This window comes from Homo sapiens, chromosome 4, assembly GCF_000001405.40.
Source record: "Homo sapiens chromosome 4, GRCh38.p14 Primary Assembly".
In the NCBI taxonomy this organism is placed as follows: Eukaryota; Metazoa; Chordata; class Mammalia; order Primates; family Hominidae; genus Homo; species Homo sapiens.
Window position 1 is genome coordinate 7,584,507 of NC_000004.12, and position 18,860 is coordinate 7,603,366.

The 18,860-nt window shown below is 51.5% G+C and overlaps 1 protein-coding gene across 8 annotated transcripts in view, besides 1 other annotated feature; it reads left to right on the forward strand.

The window, feature by feature from the left end:
- The window catches only part of SORCS2 (sortilin related VPS10 domain containing receptor 2), a 550,290-nt gene that overhangs the window by 391,969 nt on the left and 139,461 nt on the right, over positions 1-18,860 (forward strand). The window lies entirely within an intron of this gene.
- Positions 8,586-9,483: an enhancer, noted in NCBI's record as "H3K4me1 hESC enhancer chr4:7594819-7595716 (GRCh37/hg19 assembly coordinates)". NCBI's record gives its function as "activates a minimal SCP1, AML or CMV promoter by ChIP-STARR-seq in primed H9 embryonic stem cells {active_cell/tissue: H9 hESC(primed)}" and the evidence as "EXISTENCE:reporter gene assay evidence [ECO:0000049][PMID:30033119]".

Here is an 18,860-nt window from a genome sequence, read left to right on the forward strand (position 1 = left end):
GAGGTCTGGTGAATGCAAGGAACTTACCCAAGGTCGCACCATGACAGAAATAGGGACAAAGGTTTTTCTGAGTGACGAGTCTCTCTACTACTCTCACTCTAAGAAACCAGGCTGCCTCCACAGTAGATAAACACATGCAGAGGAGGTCTTGCTCCTGCATCCCTTCCTAACGCAGAGCCTAAACCACAGCGGGGCTCAGCTGGGGGGAGGTTGCATCTAAGATTGAGCAGTTTTGCAGGCACAGTTCCAAGAGCATCATAATTCTGCAGCCCTCAACAGACTGTGTGTGAGATTTCCAAAGTGAAATAAATGCTCCCATTACCCAGTTGAACTGAGAATATCGATGTCATTAGCCTAATTGTGTGCGCTGTGTTTATAGACTCCCATGCTAGGCTCTGGGGGATGTCAAAATAAAGCAAGCACATTGCAAAACACAAAGGGGGTTGCAGCGGGTGATGTGAATCTCTTGTTGTGATTCCCGGCGTGACTGCATTTCTCAACATGCACGCCCTGAGAGGGAGAGAAAGAGCAGCCGTTCTGTCTGACATGTCAGAGTCTCAGAAATTGCTCTGTTGATGGACAGGAGGAAGAGGTGAAGGGAGAAAAGATCTGAGACAAGCATATAAAACTGAAGAATATAATTTCCTCTCTGGGACTTATTTTCTTTAGTGGGGAATGGGCAGGATGGTCGGGGAAGCCTCTTGCATCTCCCTGAAGCAGGTCCATCGGGGCCTGAGCTATCACAGGAAGAATGAGTTGGGCTAAAACCGTCAGCTCTAGTGCGGCCTGCATTCCTGCACCAGTATCTCAAAACCCGCCGGACTTCCAAGGGGTGGTTTGGGCTGCGGTGTAGGAGTGGAATGTGGATCACTGAAGTACACCAGAAAAGGGAACCCAGCCTGAGGCTGCCTCTGGGGCCCTCAGGAGGTGACCTGGTCCCCTGTGTCAGGCAAGTCCCTCCCACCACATTTCCGAAATCCACCTGTGGCCTCACCTTGCTGAAACTGCAGAACAAATCACAGGACTATCAGGGGACCAGGATATCTCTCGTCTACCACTTCAAGGTATTGTAGAAACAACTTATAGACTAGTCACTAACTTATCACCATTTCATCTTCTATCTTTTGTGTTCATGAACTAACTGTACCATTTTCATTGTTTTATGCGAATGGTTTCAATGCTCACAGCCTCTTCCATCCTTGAGTTAGTAATTCTGATTCACCTCTCAGCTGGCTAGGGTACATCTCCAAGGACTGTTTGGGAGGACGCATGTGGGGGAGCAGCCTTGCCCCTAGGATTTTCCTTTTATTGACTCCATCCCTGTTGAAGGACAGCTTGACTGAAGGTGAGATTTCTGAGTCATCTCTCTTCCTTGCAGACATCTGAAGGGGTTGCTCTATTTGCTTAATACTTAGCCTTATAGAGGGAGCCATGCCAATTTGGCAGTTCATTTATCTCGCCTGGTTTTCTTCCTCCTTCTAGTTAAATATTTTCACTGGGATGGGTCTGATGTTTGCCTCCTTTTCATGTTGACCTTGTCTTGGACATGCTGAGCTGCCTCACTCTAAAGGCATTGCTCTCTCTTTGGCAGCCACTCTGTTCCAATTGTTCTGGCTTCTCTGTTGGGAACGCCTATGATTTGGGGCTTGATATCTGTGCTCTCATCTTTAGGGCCATTTTTTCCCTCCCATTAATTTGACTGATTTGCTTCCTTCTGCCACCTTCTGGGAGAGCTTTGCAAGTCTGTCTGTCTGGTCCCTGATTCTGTTTCTACGTTTTCATTCTGCCTTTCACTGCCCCCAATGACGATGTTTTTTCTTCAACATTTATTTTAAGTTCCAAGGTACATGTGCAGGATGTACAGGTTTGTTACATAGGTAAATGTGTGCCATAGTGGTTTGCTGCACAGATGAACCCATCACCCAGGTATTAAGCCCAGCATCCATAAGCTATTTTTCCTGATGCTCTCCTTGCCCCATTCTCCCAACAGGCCTCTATATGTGTTATTTCCCCCACACTGTGTCCATGTGTTCTCATCACTCAGCTCCTCCTTGTAAGTGAGAACATGTGGTGTTTGGTTTTTCTGTTCCTGTGTTAGTTTGCTGAGGATAATGGCTTCCAGCTCCATCCGTGTCCCGGCAAAGGACATGAACTCATTCCTTTTTTATGGCAGCATAGTATTCCATGGTGTATATGTACCACATTTTCTTTACCCAGTCTATCATGGATGGGCATTTGGTTTGATTCCATGCCATGGACAATTTTAGTGCCACTTTTACTCAGATATGTTTCTTTCAGTCTTTTGTCCTTGAAACCTGTATCTTCTTATATACTCCTCGGAGATCAGCCAGAGTTTGCATTTTCTCGAGGTGTTGAAGACAAGTCCTTTTCAGAGACAGCATCTTTCACTGAGTCTTTGGGTTAGCATTCTTTTCTGCTTGGATGTTCTGTGTTGGACTGTAGAGCTCAGAGTACATGCAGGAGAGTGACAGAGAAGCAGACGTCAGCTAAAAATTAAGAATGACCTCTTAGCTACAGATGATCGGAGATGGGCGGGGCTGCCCTGGGAGGTAGGGAGCTCCCTGTCATGAGAGGTGCGCAAGCAGAAGCTGGACAACCACCAGGAAGAACATAATTGCAGTGAGTCCTGCCTTGGATGCCCTTCAGTTGTCTGATGTGGAGTTTCTAGATCTTGGTGCCAGTCTGGATTAGAAGAGGAAGAGAGTTGAGGGGTTTTAGGTAATATTTGGCCACTCAGATCTTGCGCTAAGCCACAGCCTGGCTGCCACTCTGCTCTGCAGCTCTGTGATGTTGGCTGAACCTGGGTCCCATCTTCTGACAATCGGGGACCGTAGTGCCTACGTGGCCATGTTGGCGTTTTCATTGACCCTCACACACCTGCCACCCCTGTCCTGGGAATACAGTGAGACAGGCCAGAGAAGAGCCAGGCTCCTAGGAGTTTGCATTCTGCCAGGAGACTGTCATCAGGGTTGGAGATGAGACTGACGAATGTGCTTGGTTCTGGGCAGCGCCTTGATTAGGCCCAAGGCAGGCCCAGGGTCTGGTAGCAGAAAGGCCCATGGGGTTTCCATAGAGACCAGGCCACCTGGAGTCGCCTCTCTAGTCCCCAACTCTGGCACCCACAGCAGCGTCTTCGCCTCCCAGGGGAGGTAGGGGGCACAGCTGCAGGCTGGGCCCAGGCGTGTCTGCCCACCTCCCGTCACTTTAAATATGTAAACTGGCCCGTCAGGGACTGTTTGCCCCCTCTTTCCAGCTGCAGGGCCTGTCAGTATGACAGTCACCTCCACAGTCCTGGCCATGCCTCTGGAGCACCCCGTTAGGCCGGCCCATCCAGGGAATTTGTTTTTAGAGTCCATTTGTCATCTCTGTAGCAACAACAAAAAGATGGATTGCTTTCCTGTGACAACGGAATGCATTTTTTCAGGCCTTTAAAACCAATTTCTCTAACTGTAAAAGTGGTCCCAAAGGATTAATCAGAACACCCAGGGGCAGAGTTTTTTGTCTGTTTGACAGCCTACAGTGTCCTTGGTCCTCCAGTCGCTGGGTCCCTGGAGAGAGGAGATCAGCGGTCATTAAAGTGAGAAACGCCGCCCATCTGGGTCCCTCTGAATAAGCAAATGGCTTGTTAACCAGAACATCTTCTGCGGTCGGCAAATCCTTTCTGTTCTCTGGGCCGCCAAACCGCATTGAGAGCCCATTTCTCAAGTGTCACTTTGGAGCCGGCTTCGGGCTGTGAAATGTCTCCCACAAAGCTGCCCTTGGTTTTCTTGAGGCTGATGGAACTTTCATGCGGTTGTTGGTTTTGTTTCGGATGAGGAGGAATGGCTGTATTTTCACCTGGCCTCTGGTAGGTGTCCTCTTGTAATTGGAAATCCCTACATTTCTCCTTGGGGGCTGGGTTTCTGCCAAGGCCACGTTGGAGGAGGATCTGGGGAACTGGCCTTTGGAGCATTGAAGGTCAGGGAAGCCACAGCAGGAGACCCAGTTTTGAATCTGCTGAATGGCACTTGGAGGATCAAGTTCCCTCTGAGGTTGAAGAGCCCCCCTCTGACCTTGGTTCAGGGGAATCACGTGGGCTGGCCTTACCAGCAGATGTGGCAACTGGGATCTAAGAATCCTTGTAAAGGCGTTTTGTATCCTTCCTGGAAAACTGGAGTTGGACATACCTTCAAGGAAAAACTAGCTGGGCTTCCTGTCCTGGAAGAGGAAGGGCGCTGGGAGAGAACACTGACATGCATTCATTCATTCATGCATTCACAATACAGTGCAGTGAATGCTCACATCATGGTATGAGCAAGACTTTTTTTGGTATATTTTGCTTTCTTGCTTTTGTTTGGTTTGGTTATTTTTCTAAGCACAGAGCAGGTGGCTCCTATCGGAACCGCTTCACAGAGGACGTGGACATCAAGTTGGTTTTATAGGGATTTGGGGCAATTCAGAGAAAAATGGATATGGGCTGCGGGCCCAGGGAACAGCATGTGCAGAGACACAGCAGACTGAGAGAGCCCAGCCTACTGGGGACACAGTGAGCTGCCGGGTGACCCTGGTGCACAGGAGGTGTGGGGCGAAGGGGTTCAGCAGGCTCGGAGTTGGTTCTGAGTGCTCTCAAATGCAGTGCCAAGAGTTTGGCGTTTCCTGGTAGAAGCCTGCAAAGTCTATCTGGGAGGCCAGTTAGGAGATCCTTGTGGCAACCCAGAGGTGAAATATGACATCAACAGTGAGAATGGAAGGAGGGGTCAGGTTTGGGAGGGACTTCGGGCATAGAACATATGGTATTTGGTGGCTGGTTGTTAGCGATGATACCAACAGCAGCAGTAGTGAGAATAACGACCTTTATAGGCATGCCCTCTTGGCTGAGACCCGTTTTTTTTGTTTGTTTGTTTGTTTTGTTTTGAGACAGAGTCTCGCTCTGTGGCCCAGGTTGGTGTGCAGTGGCACGATCTCGGCTCATTGCAACCTCTACCTCCCGGGTTCAAGCGATTCTTCTGCCTCAGCCTCCCAAGTAGCTGGGACTATAGGCGCCTGCCACCATGCCCGGCTAACTTTTGTATTTTTAGTAAAGAAGGGGTTTCACCATATTGGCCAGGCTTGTCTCGAACTCCTGACCTCATGATCTGCCCACCTCAGCCTCCCAAAGTGCTGGGATTACAGGCGTGAGCCACCGCACTTGGCCAGCTGAGTCCCGTTCTAAGTGCCCTGTGTGTAGTAATACCATGAGGACATGGATGGTAGGAACTATTTTTATCCCCATTCTACAGAGAGGAACCTGAGGCTCAGAGAGTTTAAGTAATGTGTCTGAGGTCACACAGCAGGGGAAATGGCAGAGCCAAATTTGAACCCAGACACCTGGATCTGTCATATCTAGAGCAGCGCAAATATGGAGACTCACCAGGTCTGTGTGTGAACCAAGAGCTTTCCATGTGACTGCCTGGGGCACGGAATGGCGGGGCTATTGGAGCAGCAAGGAGACATGAGAGAGAAAGGGCTGGAGGATGCATTTATAAAAGACAGCCGAGAAGGGGAATGGCTATTTATTGCTGTTGCAAAGGTCTGTCTCTTAAAACCCGAGTCGAATAAGAGAAGGAAGCTAGTGCATTCTGGCCGCACAGACACCCTGCCAGGGTACTGCCTTGTTTATGAAGAAGAAACAGTAAACTGAAAACATGACCTCCAGTGATTTGTCCCAACATTAAATAATGACTAGTTTGAATTTAAATATGTGGCGGAAAATTATGCTCCGATCCCTTCCTCTGGAAAGGGTTCAGGGTGTTTGATTACCGAATGAGTCATGCATATTCATAGCTGTGCTTTCATCTTGCCAATCGGGTCCCCTTTGTTATTTGCTAACTTTAAGAAGGAAAGGGCTTGTGAAGACTGTGAAGGTGGCCTGGCTTCTCAGGTCCTCTCCCAGGGAGAGAAATGCCTCCAGGGCAAGAATGAGCTCTGGCTGGAGAGTCTAGAGAGTGGACTTCTCCCCTCGGGAGCCGGGCTGGGACGTTGGGTGTCAGGCAGCATTCTCATGTGCTTTGTCAAATTTGAGCCTCAAAGGTTCTGTGGGTGAGGATGGAGGTAGACGTCTCCATTTTTGAGATGTGGAAACTGAGGCCCAGAGACAAAGGGGCAAGGTCACAACGGCTAATAGGGAATGGGGCTGGGCCCACCCATGGTCCCATCCCTGCCCTGGGAGACTTCATTCCTAAGATTCATGAAGTTCAGGTGTGAGCCACTGCGCCGGCTACTGCTGACACCTTGATTTTAGCCCAGTAAGACTGATGTGAGACTTCTGGCCTCCAGAATTGTAAGAGGACAAATGTGTCTTGTGTTAGACCACTGAGGTTGTGGTTATTTGTTACAGAAACCATAGATAGCTACACATCACCATATCTATATAGGGGTGAGCTTTCTTGTCCTTAAAATGTAGAAAATATCTTTGTAGGCTTGCTGGCAGCTTCCAGTCAGGAAAGGGATTTGCAGGTATGGTGGCCACATGGCTGCATGGCTGTCATCTCCCCACAGCACACTTGGCGGGTCTCAATGGAGGAAACTGACGCTCATAGCGCCCAGCAGATGGGATGAAGTGGGCACCGGGCCAGCGCGTGCATCCTTAGCTCACTCTTCCTGCTTCTTTCTGTGTCCTTCTTCCACTTCCTCTTCCTCCTCCCACCTTCTCCTTCTTCTCTTGTGCTCAGCCTCCTCGCGCTCTCCCCTCCACCTGCTGCTGCCTCCTCTCTCCTTCCTAACAAGGTGTCTCACCTCTCCCATCAGTTATGGTCCCGTTTTACAGCCAGAACCTACAAGCTGTCCTGCCAGAGTCCCAGGGCTGGGAGGGGCTGGATTAGGGCCAGAGCCAGTGTTGCCTCCCTCCAAGCCTGGTGCTACCCCCTGCGAGCTCCATCAGGCCATCCAGGGTGGACCAAGGGGGCACTGGGAAGGGTTTTGGGGAGACAGGTGGTGCTGGCAGGCTGGTGGGGCCTGATCCACCGAATGGGAAGTGTGGACTTTTGGCTGTGGCAGAGCCAACGCTCATGCTCTCCCGGGTGGTCACGGGGTCAGCCACTCAGCACACTCAACCCTGGGCAATCTCTCTGGCTCTTGGCAGTAGCTCTTTTGAATTCCGGCTCACGAGGATTAACGATGACGAGGGGGGTGTTAGCTCTGAAGAAAACCCCAATCCTTCCCCATCGCCCCCGTAGAGCCCGGGAGAGCTTTCTAAAGCGCCCCACGGCAGTGATGAATCCCGGCAGAGGCCTCTGACCCCGGCGGGCCTGTCGTCAGGGGTGCCCGCCGCACGGATGGATGGGTTTCCTTGAGTCCCGCTGCCTGCGCTCTGCGGTGTTTGTGCTTATCTGGGATTACGCTTTTCTGTGCTTGTGTGTCAGCCTCCATGGGATATTGGGGACCTCCTCAAAGGATTATATGGGGCCATTTCAGCCGACCAACAGAAAATCCCAGCAGGTTGCAGATGAGAAAAAAAAAATCCCCCTTTAAATTGGCAGAGCAGCTAGGAAAGCGCCGAGGCTTTCATTTGGGGGCTTTTAAGCACCACATGAGCCCTGAGCTTCTCCCCTTTATACTTGAAAAAGATACGCTTCGAGTTTGGCTCTCTCGACAAAGCCCCTTTCATTTTATTCAAGTCTCTGTTGTTTATGGCGGCCTTGCCTGGTCATTATTTTTGTGGGCTCCCCCAACTACCCACTTTCATCCACAGCTGCTGCTCTAATTATTATTATTTTTTTTAACAAATCCAGGCTGGATCTGGGCACGCTGGTATTTTGGAACCAAATAGGCCGGTTCTACAGTTGCCTTACTCGCCCTGGTGACTGCAGTAATGAGCTTAGGCTCTGAGCGTTGGTGTCCTCATTCAAGAAACGGGAGAAAGTCTCAGTGGACAGCATGACCAGTGCTCACCAGCACCCAGCTCCCTTCTTTCTGGCTATCTGAACAACCGTCTTCCCCAGCCCCCTTACAGCAAGGCATGGCCATGTGACTAGCTCTGGCCAGTGCCACGGGGGAGTCAGTGGTGACAGTCACTTCAGGCTAGGACCATGAAAAGTCCACATGCAAATCTGCGGTCTCTCCCCGTCTCAACAACTGAGATGGAGCTTCTGTTACATGGGGTCCCCGAATGACTGTGTGGAGCAGGGCTGTGCCAACCCACTATGGACAAATAGCATGAGTGAGACAGAAGCCATTGTGGTGATGGGTTGCTGGGACTTCAGGGTGGATTGGCAGCAAAACCTAGCCTATGCATTCTCAAATGTAATCCCTACCTCACAACATTGAGATTTGTTGAATGATTGAATGAATGAATGAATGAATGACATAAACCACCAACCAGAATGCCTGGCTCATAGTAGTTGTAAAGCAAATGCTAATAATTTCTCCACTTGAAGGTGCATGCTATGGAGGTGCTGCTTGGGTTAATCTACTGCTGTGTGTGTGACAACGTATCCCAAACCCTACTGGCTTGAAACACCAATTTATTGTTAAAACCTATATAATTTATGGGTTGATAGGGCTCAGCCAGAAGGCTTTTGCTTGGGGTCTCACATATGGTGGCAGTCAGGAGGTTGAGGTTGCAGTGAGCCATGATCGCACCCCTGCACTCCAGCCTGGACAACAGAGCAAGGCCCTGTTTCAAAAAACAAACAAACAAAACCAACAGGGTCAGGTAGAAGTGCAAGGCTTCTTATGGCCAGTGGAGCCTCGGGAGTCCCAGGGCATCACTTTCTGCTGCAATCTTTTGGCCAAAGAAGTAGCTAAGATCAGCCTAGAATCTGGAATGGAAATAGACTCTGCTGTTTAACAGGGGAGCAGCCAGGTCACCTGCAGCAGAGCAGGTGAGGCGGGAGGTACTGTTGCAGTCTTCATTGGAAAGCAGGCTGTGACAGGTGCCTGCAGTCAAAGGGCAGGACCGCCTCCTGGCAGAGGGACTGTCCATCTAGCAAGGGCCATGAGAGACCCGGATGTCCTGCTCCCCTTCCAAGGCCCTTCCTCCCCTGTCCCCACACTCTCATGTTCCAGGCAGTGGCTCTTCCGTCTTCGTGCCTGGCCGAGCCTCAGTGGCTGCTGTGTTCCAGGTGGTGCTGCTGCTGCTCAGAGCCCAGCCGAAACCTGGCCAACCTGGGGGCGGGGGTGGGGGCGGCCCCAGGCGGGTAATGGGAAGCCGGAGCAGATGTTGGCAGTTACAGGCAGGGGTGCCGCTTGCCAGCCAGCACAGGACCACTGCAGCTGAGCGGCTGTAACTTACTTTACAGAAATTGCCCAATTTCGAATGAATAATATTGTCATTATGGTTAAACTCATCAACTCCGGCGATACCTCTGCCCCTCTCGGGAGCCCTGGCAGAAGAAGGCGCTACTCGGAGACTCATTAGTCATCAACCAAAGTGCTCTTGTTATGGGAAATGAAGACCAAATGGGCATTTATTGAAATCCATCCTGACACCCTCCACTGGGAGGCCATTTTTAGTTAGTTCATTTATTGAGCCTCTCTTGAGCACGTCTGTCTGCCAGGACCTGGGCTAGGTCTGGTGATACCAAAATGAAAGCACCCAATTCCTGCCCTCACAATGCCCCCAGGCTCTAGAGGAATAAACAACACAGTGAAGGGTGGACTAGGCTGTCAGGGCGAGAGCTGGTACTCTGCCCCCTGCTGCCTCGGGAAGTGCTCTGGCCTCGGTGTATTCCTGTCTGTAGGATGAGGGCCATCAGCTACCTCTGCGGCTGTGGCAGGTCCCGCGATCATAAAAGCTTGTCACCTGCCACGGTGTGTGCCACAGTGTCTGCAAGTGGCCTGGAGTGGGAAATAACGGGAATGCAACTTTTGGAAATTACAGAATGGATGGAGGTCTTTCCCTCTCCCTCAGCACACACACATAGCCAGCAGGCAGCTGCTGCCCGAGGAAGGGTAAGCTTCTTGCTTGGCTGGAAGCCCCGGGTGGGCCTGCTCCCCTCCTTGGCACTGTCCTGCCTGCTCCGGGGTGGGTGTGAGATCAGAGATTCATAGGATGGGACCCACAGCAAACAGACCTGCCCAGGGCGCATCCTGGCTCTAGGACTCTGGGCTCAGTGCCCTTCCTCCTTCTCTCCCTCCCTTCCTAATTTAGGAAGCCCCTAATTTACAGTGTCAAGAGGGGCTTCCTCTTCAACTCTGGCCACACACAGGTGTTTGGGGCAGAGTCTTAGTGTCTATGAGTGGGTGTCTTGGAGTTCAACATCTGGGTCTGGACCACGCTTCCACCGCTGTTCAATGCTCATCCACGATGGGGCGAGGGTCACAGTCTCGGTGTGCCTCAATTTCCTCATCTGTAAACCAGCATAATAGTAGCAGCAAATCCATTGATTGGCTCTGAACTTGAGGTGGTGCCTCAACTGCGTTTACTCACAACACTCTGATACCAAAATGTCTTTTGCAACACATCTCCACCTCTGCAATGCCAGCTGGGTGTCCCACAGCTCAGTTCAATTCTGACACCATCCACCTTGACTTACTATCAGATCCAGGCTCGGTCCCCCATGACTGTTCCCGCTGCAGATGCCAGTCACAAGTCCAGGCTGGCACTTCTGCTGGATTGGGTCAAAACTCAGGGGGTTTCACGGCCTCCTCCTCGTGTGTAGTAATTCGCCACACAGAACTCAGGAGAGCAGTTTCCTTGCTATTACCGGTTTATTATGGATACAACTCAGCAACAGAGGAAGAGAGGCACGAGGCAGGGCATGGGGTGAAAGCTGCCACATCCTCTCCAGCCGTGCCACCCTCGAAGCACATCTGTGTTCACCAACCCAGAAGCTCTCCAACCCCCTCATCTAGGGGGTTTGTGGGGGCTTCATTACGTAGGCACGGTGGATTAAGTCACTGGCCATTGGTGACTAACTCCATCTCCAACCCCTCTTCCCTCCCCAGAGGTCAGGGGTTAGGGCTGAAAGCCCCAAAACTCTAACCCTGCCTTGGTCCTTCTGGGTACCAATCCCCATCCCAAAGCTGTCTCCACCACTCCCCACCCCCGCCCCGCACCAGCCATCTCATTACCATACGAAAGACGTTCTTGTCACTCTTGTCACTCTGGAGATTCCAAGGGTCCTAGGAGCTGTGTGCCAGGAACCGGGACAGAGACCAGAGACCAAATATCTATTTCTTCTTTTGCCACAGGCCAGGGATGTCCTGTGCACAGGGCCTGGCACTTACTCAGTGTTCAGTTCAGATTTGCTGCCCTGGTTCTGTGATTTCATCAACCTGGATGGGTAGGGACAGTGGTTCTGACTCTAGTATTAATGCATTAAGAATGTTTCTCAAGCACTTTCTAGGCACCAGGCACCGTCACCTGAATATTCTGTGGTGGACAAGCCCGACGCGGACTCTGACCTCAGTGGGGCTCTTGGTCTGGGGTCTGCAGTCCCCTGGCCCCATGGGGAATGGGAACATGCCTGACAGCTGCTCTTTCCCTTTCCCCAGCCTGCATTCCTGCCACGGCAACCCGCGGTTTCTCATTGAGACTGCATCCTCACAAACCATGGTTCTAGCTGGCGTGAGGCAGCACTCATCCTCACAAATTTGACTCAGCATCCTGTTGTGTCTTTGGATCCAGTGTCTGCTGCTATCGGAAGACATAAGACAATGCCACACTGTGTGAGGCAGAAATAAGTATACGATAGAATAGATTTGTGAGCCTTGTATAGAGATATGCAATCTAGGATGTCCAAAAATAGGGAAGAGAGCTTTGAGGATTCCGGTGAGATTCACAATGGCCAGCTTGGCTGGCATGGTAGACGGTGTGGTTAGCGGCTCCCCTCTGCAAAGAGAGCTTCATTTTCTGGTTGAAGTGCCGACAGTGTGCTTTTGACTCATGCTGCTTTTTATAGGGACTCGCTAGACCTGCATGTCAGATTCTGTCTGCAAAGTGCCCTTCAGGTGCCAAGACTCCATTTTTTGACTCAGGGAAAATGCTGTTTAATTAGCAGGCTCAAAAAGATACCCAATTATGAGTTAAATTGGGCTAGAAGAAACTGTTCTTTCAAAATTTATCTCCTTTCGTGCTAAAACCCATTTCCATCCCCTTCAGACAAGCTAGTTAATTTCTTTTAACGTAATTTGCAAAGGACATTCCAGGAGAAATCTGCGTTCCTTTGGAAATCGGTCAAGAGCCAGCTTCCTTTAGCACCTCCTGGCAGGGCGAGGGTGGAAGTTTCTCCATTGGGCACCCAGGGCTCTCTGTTCTCTGAGCACCCACCAGGTACCCTTGAGGTGCAAGGGGCTTTCATGTTTCAGGAAATGGAGCCTAGGAGGGGCTTGGACTGCTCAGGCCACGCAGTGAGCAGGCAGAGGGACTTCAGTGGAGAGACCTAGAAAGCAGCCACATTCAGATCATGAAGGTCTCACAGGAAATCCTGGGGTTGGGGGTGAAAGAGTAAGGGGCTCAGCTCTTTGAATCTGGAAAAAGCTAAGCAGAAAACCACCAAGAGCCATGATGCGGTTGTGCAATCGTGAAAGTGCCACCTCTCTGTGCCTGGGGGCTGGCTTCCTCCGTGAGATAAAAAATCAATGCAGGCTTAGGTAAGGAAAGACTTGAAAAGACTGTTGAAATAAGGGAGGAGGCTATTGCAATAGGGGAGGGGACTATCCAATAGGGGAGGGGGTTATGGTAGTAGGGGAGGGGCTATTACAATGGAAGAGGGGGCTATTGCAATAGGGAAGGAGGCTATTGCAATAGGGAAGGAGGCTACGCAATAGGGGGAGGGACTACGCAATAGAGGAGGGGCGATTGCAATCGGAGATGGGGCTCTTGCAATGGGGAAGGGACTGTTGTAATAGGGAAGGGGACTATTGAAATGAGAGAGGGGGCTGTGCAATAGGAGAGGCTGTGCAATAGAGGAGGGGCTGTTGCAATAGGAGAGGGCTATTGCAGTGGGGAGGAGGTTACTGCAATAGGGAAGAGGACTATCGCAATAGGAGGGGGCTATTGCAATAGGGGAGGGGGACATGCAATGAGAGGTTACACAATGGCGGGGGGCTATTGCAATAGGGAAGGAGCTGTTGCAATAGGGGAAGGGGCTGTTGCAATAAGGGAGGGGCTTTTGCAACTGGGGCAGGTGGTTATTGTTAAAGGGAAGGGGGCTATTGTAATGGGAGGGGGCTCTGCCATAGAGGGAGGGGCTACACAATGGGAAGGAGGATATTGCAAGGGGGGAGAGGCTATTGCAATGGAAGAGGGGGCTATTGCAGTAAGAGGAACATTCGACATTGAGATCTATAAGCAGCTCAAAGGTCAGGCAGAAAGGAGTTTTCTTTCATTGGGAAGCAAAAGCTCCGTGGAACTGGTGAGGGAGGAGGGGTGAGAGCTGCGTTCTGCTCTGTGGTCAGCGGATTCCCAGGAAGGGCCATTGAGGAGGGGAACTGGTGTCCAGGATGGTCAGTGGGGATGACAGTTCAGCTAATCTTTTTTTTTTTTTTTTTTTTTTTTAATATGGAGTCTTGCCCTGTTGCCCAGGCTGGAGTGCAATGGCACGATCTTGGCTCACTGCAACCTCTGTCTCCCAGGTTCAAATGATTCTCCTGCCTCAGCCTTCTGAGTAGTTGGGATTACAGGCGTAAGCCACCCTGCCCGGCTAATTTTTGTATTTTTAGAAGAGACGGGGTTTCACCATGTTGGCCAGGCTGGTCTTGAACTCCTGACCTCGTGATCTGCCTGCCTCAGCCTTCCAAAGTGCTGGGATTACAGGCGTGAGCCACTGTGCCAGGCCAGCTAAGCTTTTATGAAACAGAGTGAGGAGGTGGAGGGCTGGGGCTGGCTTTGTCCTAGGCTGCCCGATGATGCCCCAGAGAGGTTCCGTGCTTCTGAGAGGCAGGGGCTTCTGAGGGGCTCACCTTGCTGCCAAAGCAATAAGGTCACAGTGGGGACATGTCTTTATCTAGTCCCTGCATTGATGTAGGAGCTGATTAGCCCCTTCTCCCTCCGCTGTGATCATGTGTCACAACTCCACATGTGGGAAACTCCTCCTATGGGTGGATGGATAGATGTCCATGAAAAACTCCTACCTTGGGCAAGGCATGGCGGCTGTGTGGGGGGCAATGCAGGAGGCATGGGAAGAGGAGGCGGGTGGTGGCTGTGTGCCCCTCGCTTGTGCTTTTCTGCCATAGAAACCTCCTTCTTGCCAATCTTACCTAAGCTTTCCCCATGAAAACCTCACGCAATGGCTTCTGTCTTCCAATAGACATAATATTCTTCAACCTCCAGAAGTGCAGTCCAAAGGCCACCATAATCCACACATAAGGTGATGGTGTTGGGGGTGGGGACAGGGGCTGTGTTCTCCCCCCCAGGCTGTGCTCATGCTGAGCTCTGTGTCCTATGGTTAAGGTGTCACTGCCGCAGCACGAGGAGCCCTGCAGTGTGCCATGGGGGCCTTGCTGGCCACAGCCTGGCTGTTGTTTTCCATTGCACGGTGCCGATGCCCTTGCAGGCGGCAGGGTTGAAGCAAGGGCTCTTGAGGAGGCAGCCGGGAGAAGTGGGCCGATGAGAGGTTGCTTGCCTGAGTGGAGCCTTGTTGAGACCCATCCTCCAAGAACACAAGGGCTGTTAAGTCAAGAGGGAACAAGTCCTTCCTTCCGCAGGCTTCTCATGGCCGCCCTGCAAGACGGCGGCCCCAGCTCACCCGAGATCTCCACAGCTCTTGAGTTCCTGAGTGAAGTCAGCCTGACCCCAGAAGGCCCCTTCTGCCCTTCAGCCTCTGCTCCCCTGCCAGCCAGGACTGGGAGCCAACTGGTGTGGTCTCCCCTAGAGCACGGGTGAGGACTGAAGTGGCGGTGATCCACGTGCCAGGCACTTGGCACGGGTGCTTCTCTGCAGCCTCAGAAACAGCACCGTCCCCCGCCAAGCCCGGTGTGCTCCGTGCAGATGTTGATCTTTGGGAGACAGGTTTAGGAGGTGGTGCTGTCATGCAGAGACGGGTGGCCGCTGGTGCCTTCAAAGGGGAAGTTGGATAACCCCAGGCCCCATGCCTGGATCACGAAGCCAGCTCCTGACACCACGAACACCTTGGCTGCTGTTGACGTCTGTCCCTGCTTCCCTGCAAACTGCACACGTGTCCCACACACCCGGTTCCATTCAGGTGTCTCTTCCTGTGATTCTGGCACAGCGGGGGCAGGTCTCGCCTCCCTCTGAGTGTCCCTGGAATACAGCATGGATGACGAGGGGCTGTGAGAGGTGAAATTGCAGGGCAGGTGTGGGCTGGGTGTGCAGGGCGTGGGATCTTTGCCCTAGAGCTTCATCCTAAGAGCTGTGGGGTGGGTTTTCTTTTTTCTTTTTTTTTTTTTTTATTGAGACAGAGTCTTGCTGTGTCACCCAGGCTAGAGTGAAGTAGCATGATATCAGCTCACTACAGCCTCCGCCTCCCAAGTTCAAGCAATTCTCACGCCTCAGCCTCCCAAGGAGCTGGGGTTACAGGTCTGTGCCACCACAACCAGCTAATTTTTATATTTAGTAGAGACAGGGTTTCATCATGTTGACCAGGCTGATCTTGAACTCCTGACCTCAAGTGATCCACCCACCTTGGCCTCCCAAACTGCTGGGATTACAGCCATGAGCCACCACACCCAGCCTGGTGGAGTAGGTTTTCTAAAGGTTTAAAAGCATGAGGGTGTTTGTGTAACCCTCTTTCTTTAGCTTCTAATTTGATCAAAGGTGGAACCAGCTGCTGTCACAGCTTACCACAAGCTTAGGGGCTTGAAACAACACGCATTTATCTTACCATGCTGGAGTCAGTTGTCCAAAATGGGTGTCACTGGGCCAAAATCAAGGTGTCGCTGCTACAGTACGAGGAACCCCCACAGCGTGGAGGCTTCCCTCTAGAAGCAGTGATCCACATGCCAGGCGCTTGGCACGAGTGCTTCTGTGCAGCCTCAGAAACAGCACCGTCCCCACCCAAGCCCGCTGTGCTCTGCGTGGATGTTGATCGCGGGAGACAGGTTTAGGAGGGGCCACACCAATCGGCTCCCAGTCCCGGCTGGCAGGGGAGGCAGAGGCCTGGGTTGCACCTGTGCTCCTCTGGGGAAACCTGGGAGCATTGCTAACCCGGGGTCCGGTAGAGGGAATTCCTAGCCTGGCGTTTTTAGATTACGATATACATATATATATACACACACACACACACACACACACACACACACACACACACACGATTAAAATGCTATATATTATGTATTTCTTGTAAATCAAATCGTTCTGTCATTATATTAGCAACTTTTATCTCCCTAGCAAATATTTTGTCTTCAAATCTCTTTCGTATGAGACTTATGGAGATACACTAGTTTACTTTGTTAGTTTTTGCCTGGTATAACTTTCCCTATCTTTTCAGTTTTAATGTTCCTCTGTCCTTATATTTTAGGGTTTGCTCTAATTAACAGCCCAGGCTGGTGGGCAATGGCATGGTCTCAGCTCACTGCAACCTCCATCTCCCGGGTTCAAGTGATCCTCCTGCCTCAGCCTCCTGAGTAGCTGGGATTACAGGTGCCTGCCACCATGCCTGGCTAATTTTTGTATTTTTAGCAGGAACAGGGTTTCGCCGTGTTTCCTGGTCTCGAACTCCTGACCTAGTCTTTTAGTTTTATCCTAGAAGTTTTAATAGACTGCTTAATGAAGTTTGGAGTGAATAAGTATCTTTATCTTCCTCTTAAATAATGCAAAGGCCTCCCTTAGGATATTTTAACTCCAAAAAACCAGCTTTGATTTAGATGCTGTTTTGCCTAGGATTTTAGTTGTATCTTTTTTTAAACTCCCCAAATTAAACCTCATTTTTTTTTTTAAGTTATCAAGCAATATCTTTATTCAAACAGTAGTAGTGCAACTTAAACATTTGTAGAACTCTTTTAAGGTTGTTTTTCACTAGATAGTGAGCTATTCAAAAAAGCAGGGTCATTATTATACTCTCTACATTTTAACCTCATATGTTTAGCTGGGTATGGTGCTGCATGCCCGTAGTCCCAGCTACTCAGGAGGCTGAGGTGGGAGGATTGCTTTAGCTAAGGAGCCACAGGTTGCAGCGAGCTGAGATCACACCACTGCACTCTAGCCTGGGCGACAAAGCAAGACTCTCTCAAAAAAAAAAAAAAAAAAAAAAAAGTTTAACATAGCTTTGTTTTTTGTTTGTTTGTTTGTTTTTTTAGTATTTATTGATCATTCTTGGGTGTTTCTCGGAGAGGGGGATTTGGCAGGGTCATAGGACAATAGTGGAGGGAAGGTCAGCAGATAAACATGTGAACAAAGGTCTCTGGTTTTCCTAGGCGGAGGACCCTGCCGCCTTCCGCAGTGTTTGTGTCCCTGAGTATGTGAGATTAGGGAGCGGTGATGACTCTTAACGAGCATGCTGCCTTCAAGCATCTGTTTAACAAAGCACATCTTGCACCGCCCTTAATCCATCTAACCCTGAGTGGACACAGCACATGTTTCAGAGAGCACGGGGTTGGGGGTAAGGCCATAGATTAACAGCATCCCAAGGCAGAAGAATTTTTCTTAGTACAGAACAAAATGGAGTCTCCCATGTCTACTTCTTTCTACACAGACACAGCAACAATCTGGTTTCTCTTTCCTTTCCCCACACTTCCCCCACTTCCACTCGACAAAACCGCCATCGTCATCATGGCCCGTTCTCAATGGGCTGCTGGGTACACCTCCCAGACGGGGTGGCTGCCGGGCAGAGGGGCCCTCACCTCCCAGACGGGGTGGCCAGGCAGAGGCGCCCCCCACCTCCCTCCCGGACGGGGTGGCTGGCCGGGCGGGGGCTGTCCCCCACCTCCTGGAGGGGGCGGCTGCTGGGCGGAGACGCTCCTCACTTCCCAGACGGGGCGGCTGCTGGGCGGAGGGGCTCCTCACTTCTCAGACGGGGCGGCCGGGCAGAGACACTCCTCAGTTCCCAGACAGGGTCGCGGCCAGGCAGAGGCGCTCCTCACATCCCAGACGGGGCGGCGGGGCAGAGGCGCTCCCCACATCTCAGACGATGGGCGGCCGGGCAGAGACGCTCCTCACTTCCTAGATGGGATGGCGGCGGCCGGGAAGAGGCGCTCCTCACTTCCTTGACGGGATGACTGCCGGGAAGAGGCGCTCCTCACTTCCTTGACGGGATGACTGCCGGGAAGAGGCACTCCTCACTTCCCAGGCTGGGCGGCCGGGCAGAGGGGCTCCTCACATCCCAGACGATGGGCGGCCAGGCAGAGACGCTCCTCACTTCCCAGACGGGGTGGCGGCCGGGCAGAGGCTGCAATCTCGGCACTTTGGGAGGCCAAGGCAGGCGGCTGGGAGGTGGAGGTTGTAGCCAACCGAGATCACGCCACTGCACTCCAGCCTGGGCAACATTGAGCACTGAGTGAGCGAGACTCCGTCTGCAATCCCGGCACCTCGGGAGGCCGAAGCTGGCAGATCACTCGCGGTCAGGAGCTGGAGACCAGCCCGACCAACATGGCAAAACCCCGTCTCCACCAAAAAAATACAAAAACCAGTCAGGCGTGGTGGTGTGCGCCTGCAATCGCAGGCACTCCGCAGGCTGAGGCAGGAGAATCAGGCAGGGAGGTTGCAGTGAGCAGAGATGGCGGCACTACAGTTCAGCCTCCGCTCGGCATCAGAGGGAGACCATGGAGAGAGAGGGAGAGGGAGACCATGGAAAGAGAGGGGGAGGGGGAGGGGGAGAGGGAGAGCTAAACGTCATTATTATTGATTTGTAACTCAGTGTTTGTTTAGATCACTCCATATTTCCTAACACCTTTTCTCCCTGTTCCTTCTTGCATGCAGATATCTTTCTGTAAAAGTTTCCTTTAACTTTTGAAATTGATTGTAATGAGGTTCTGAAATGGCA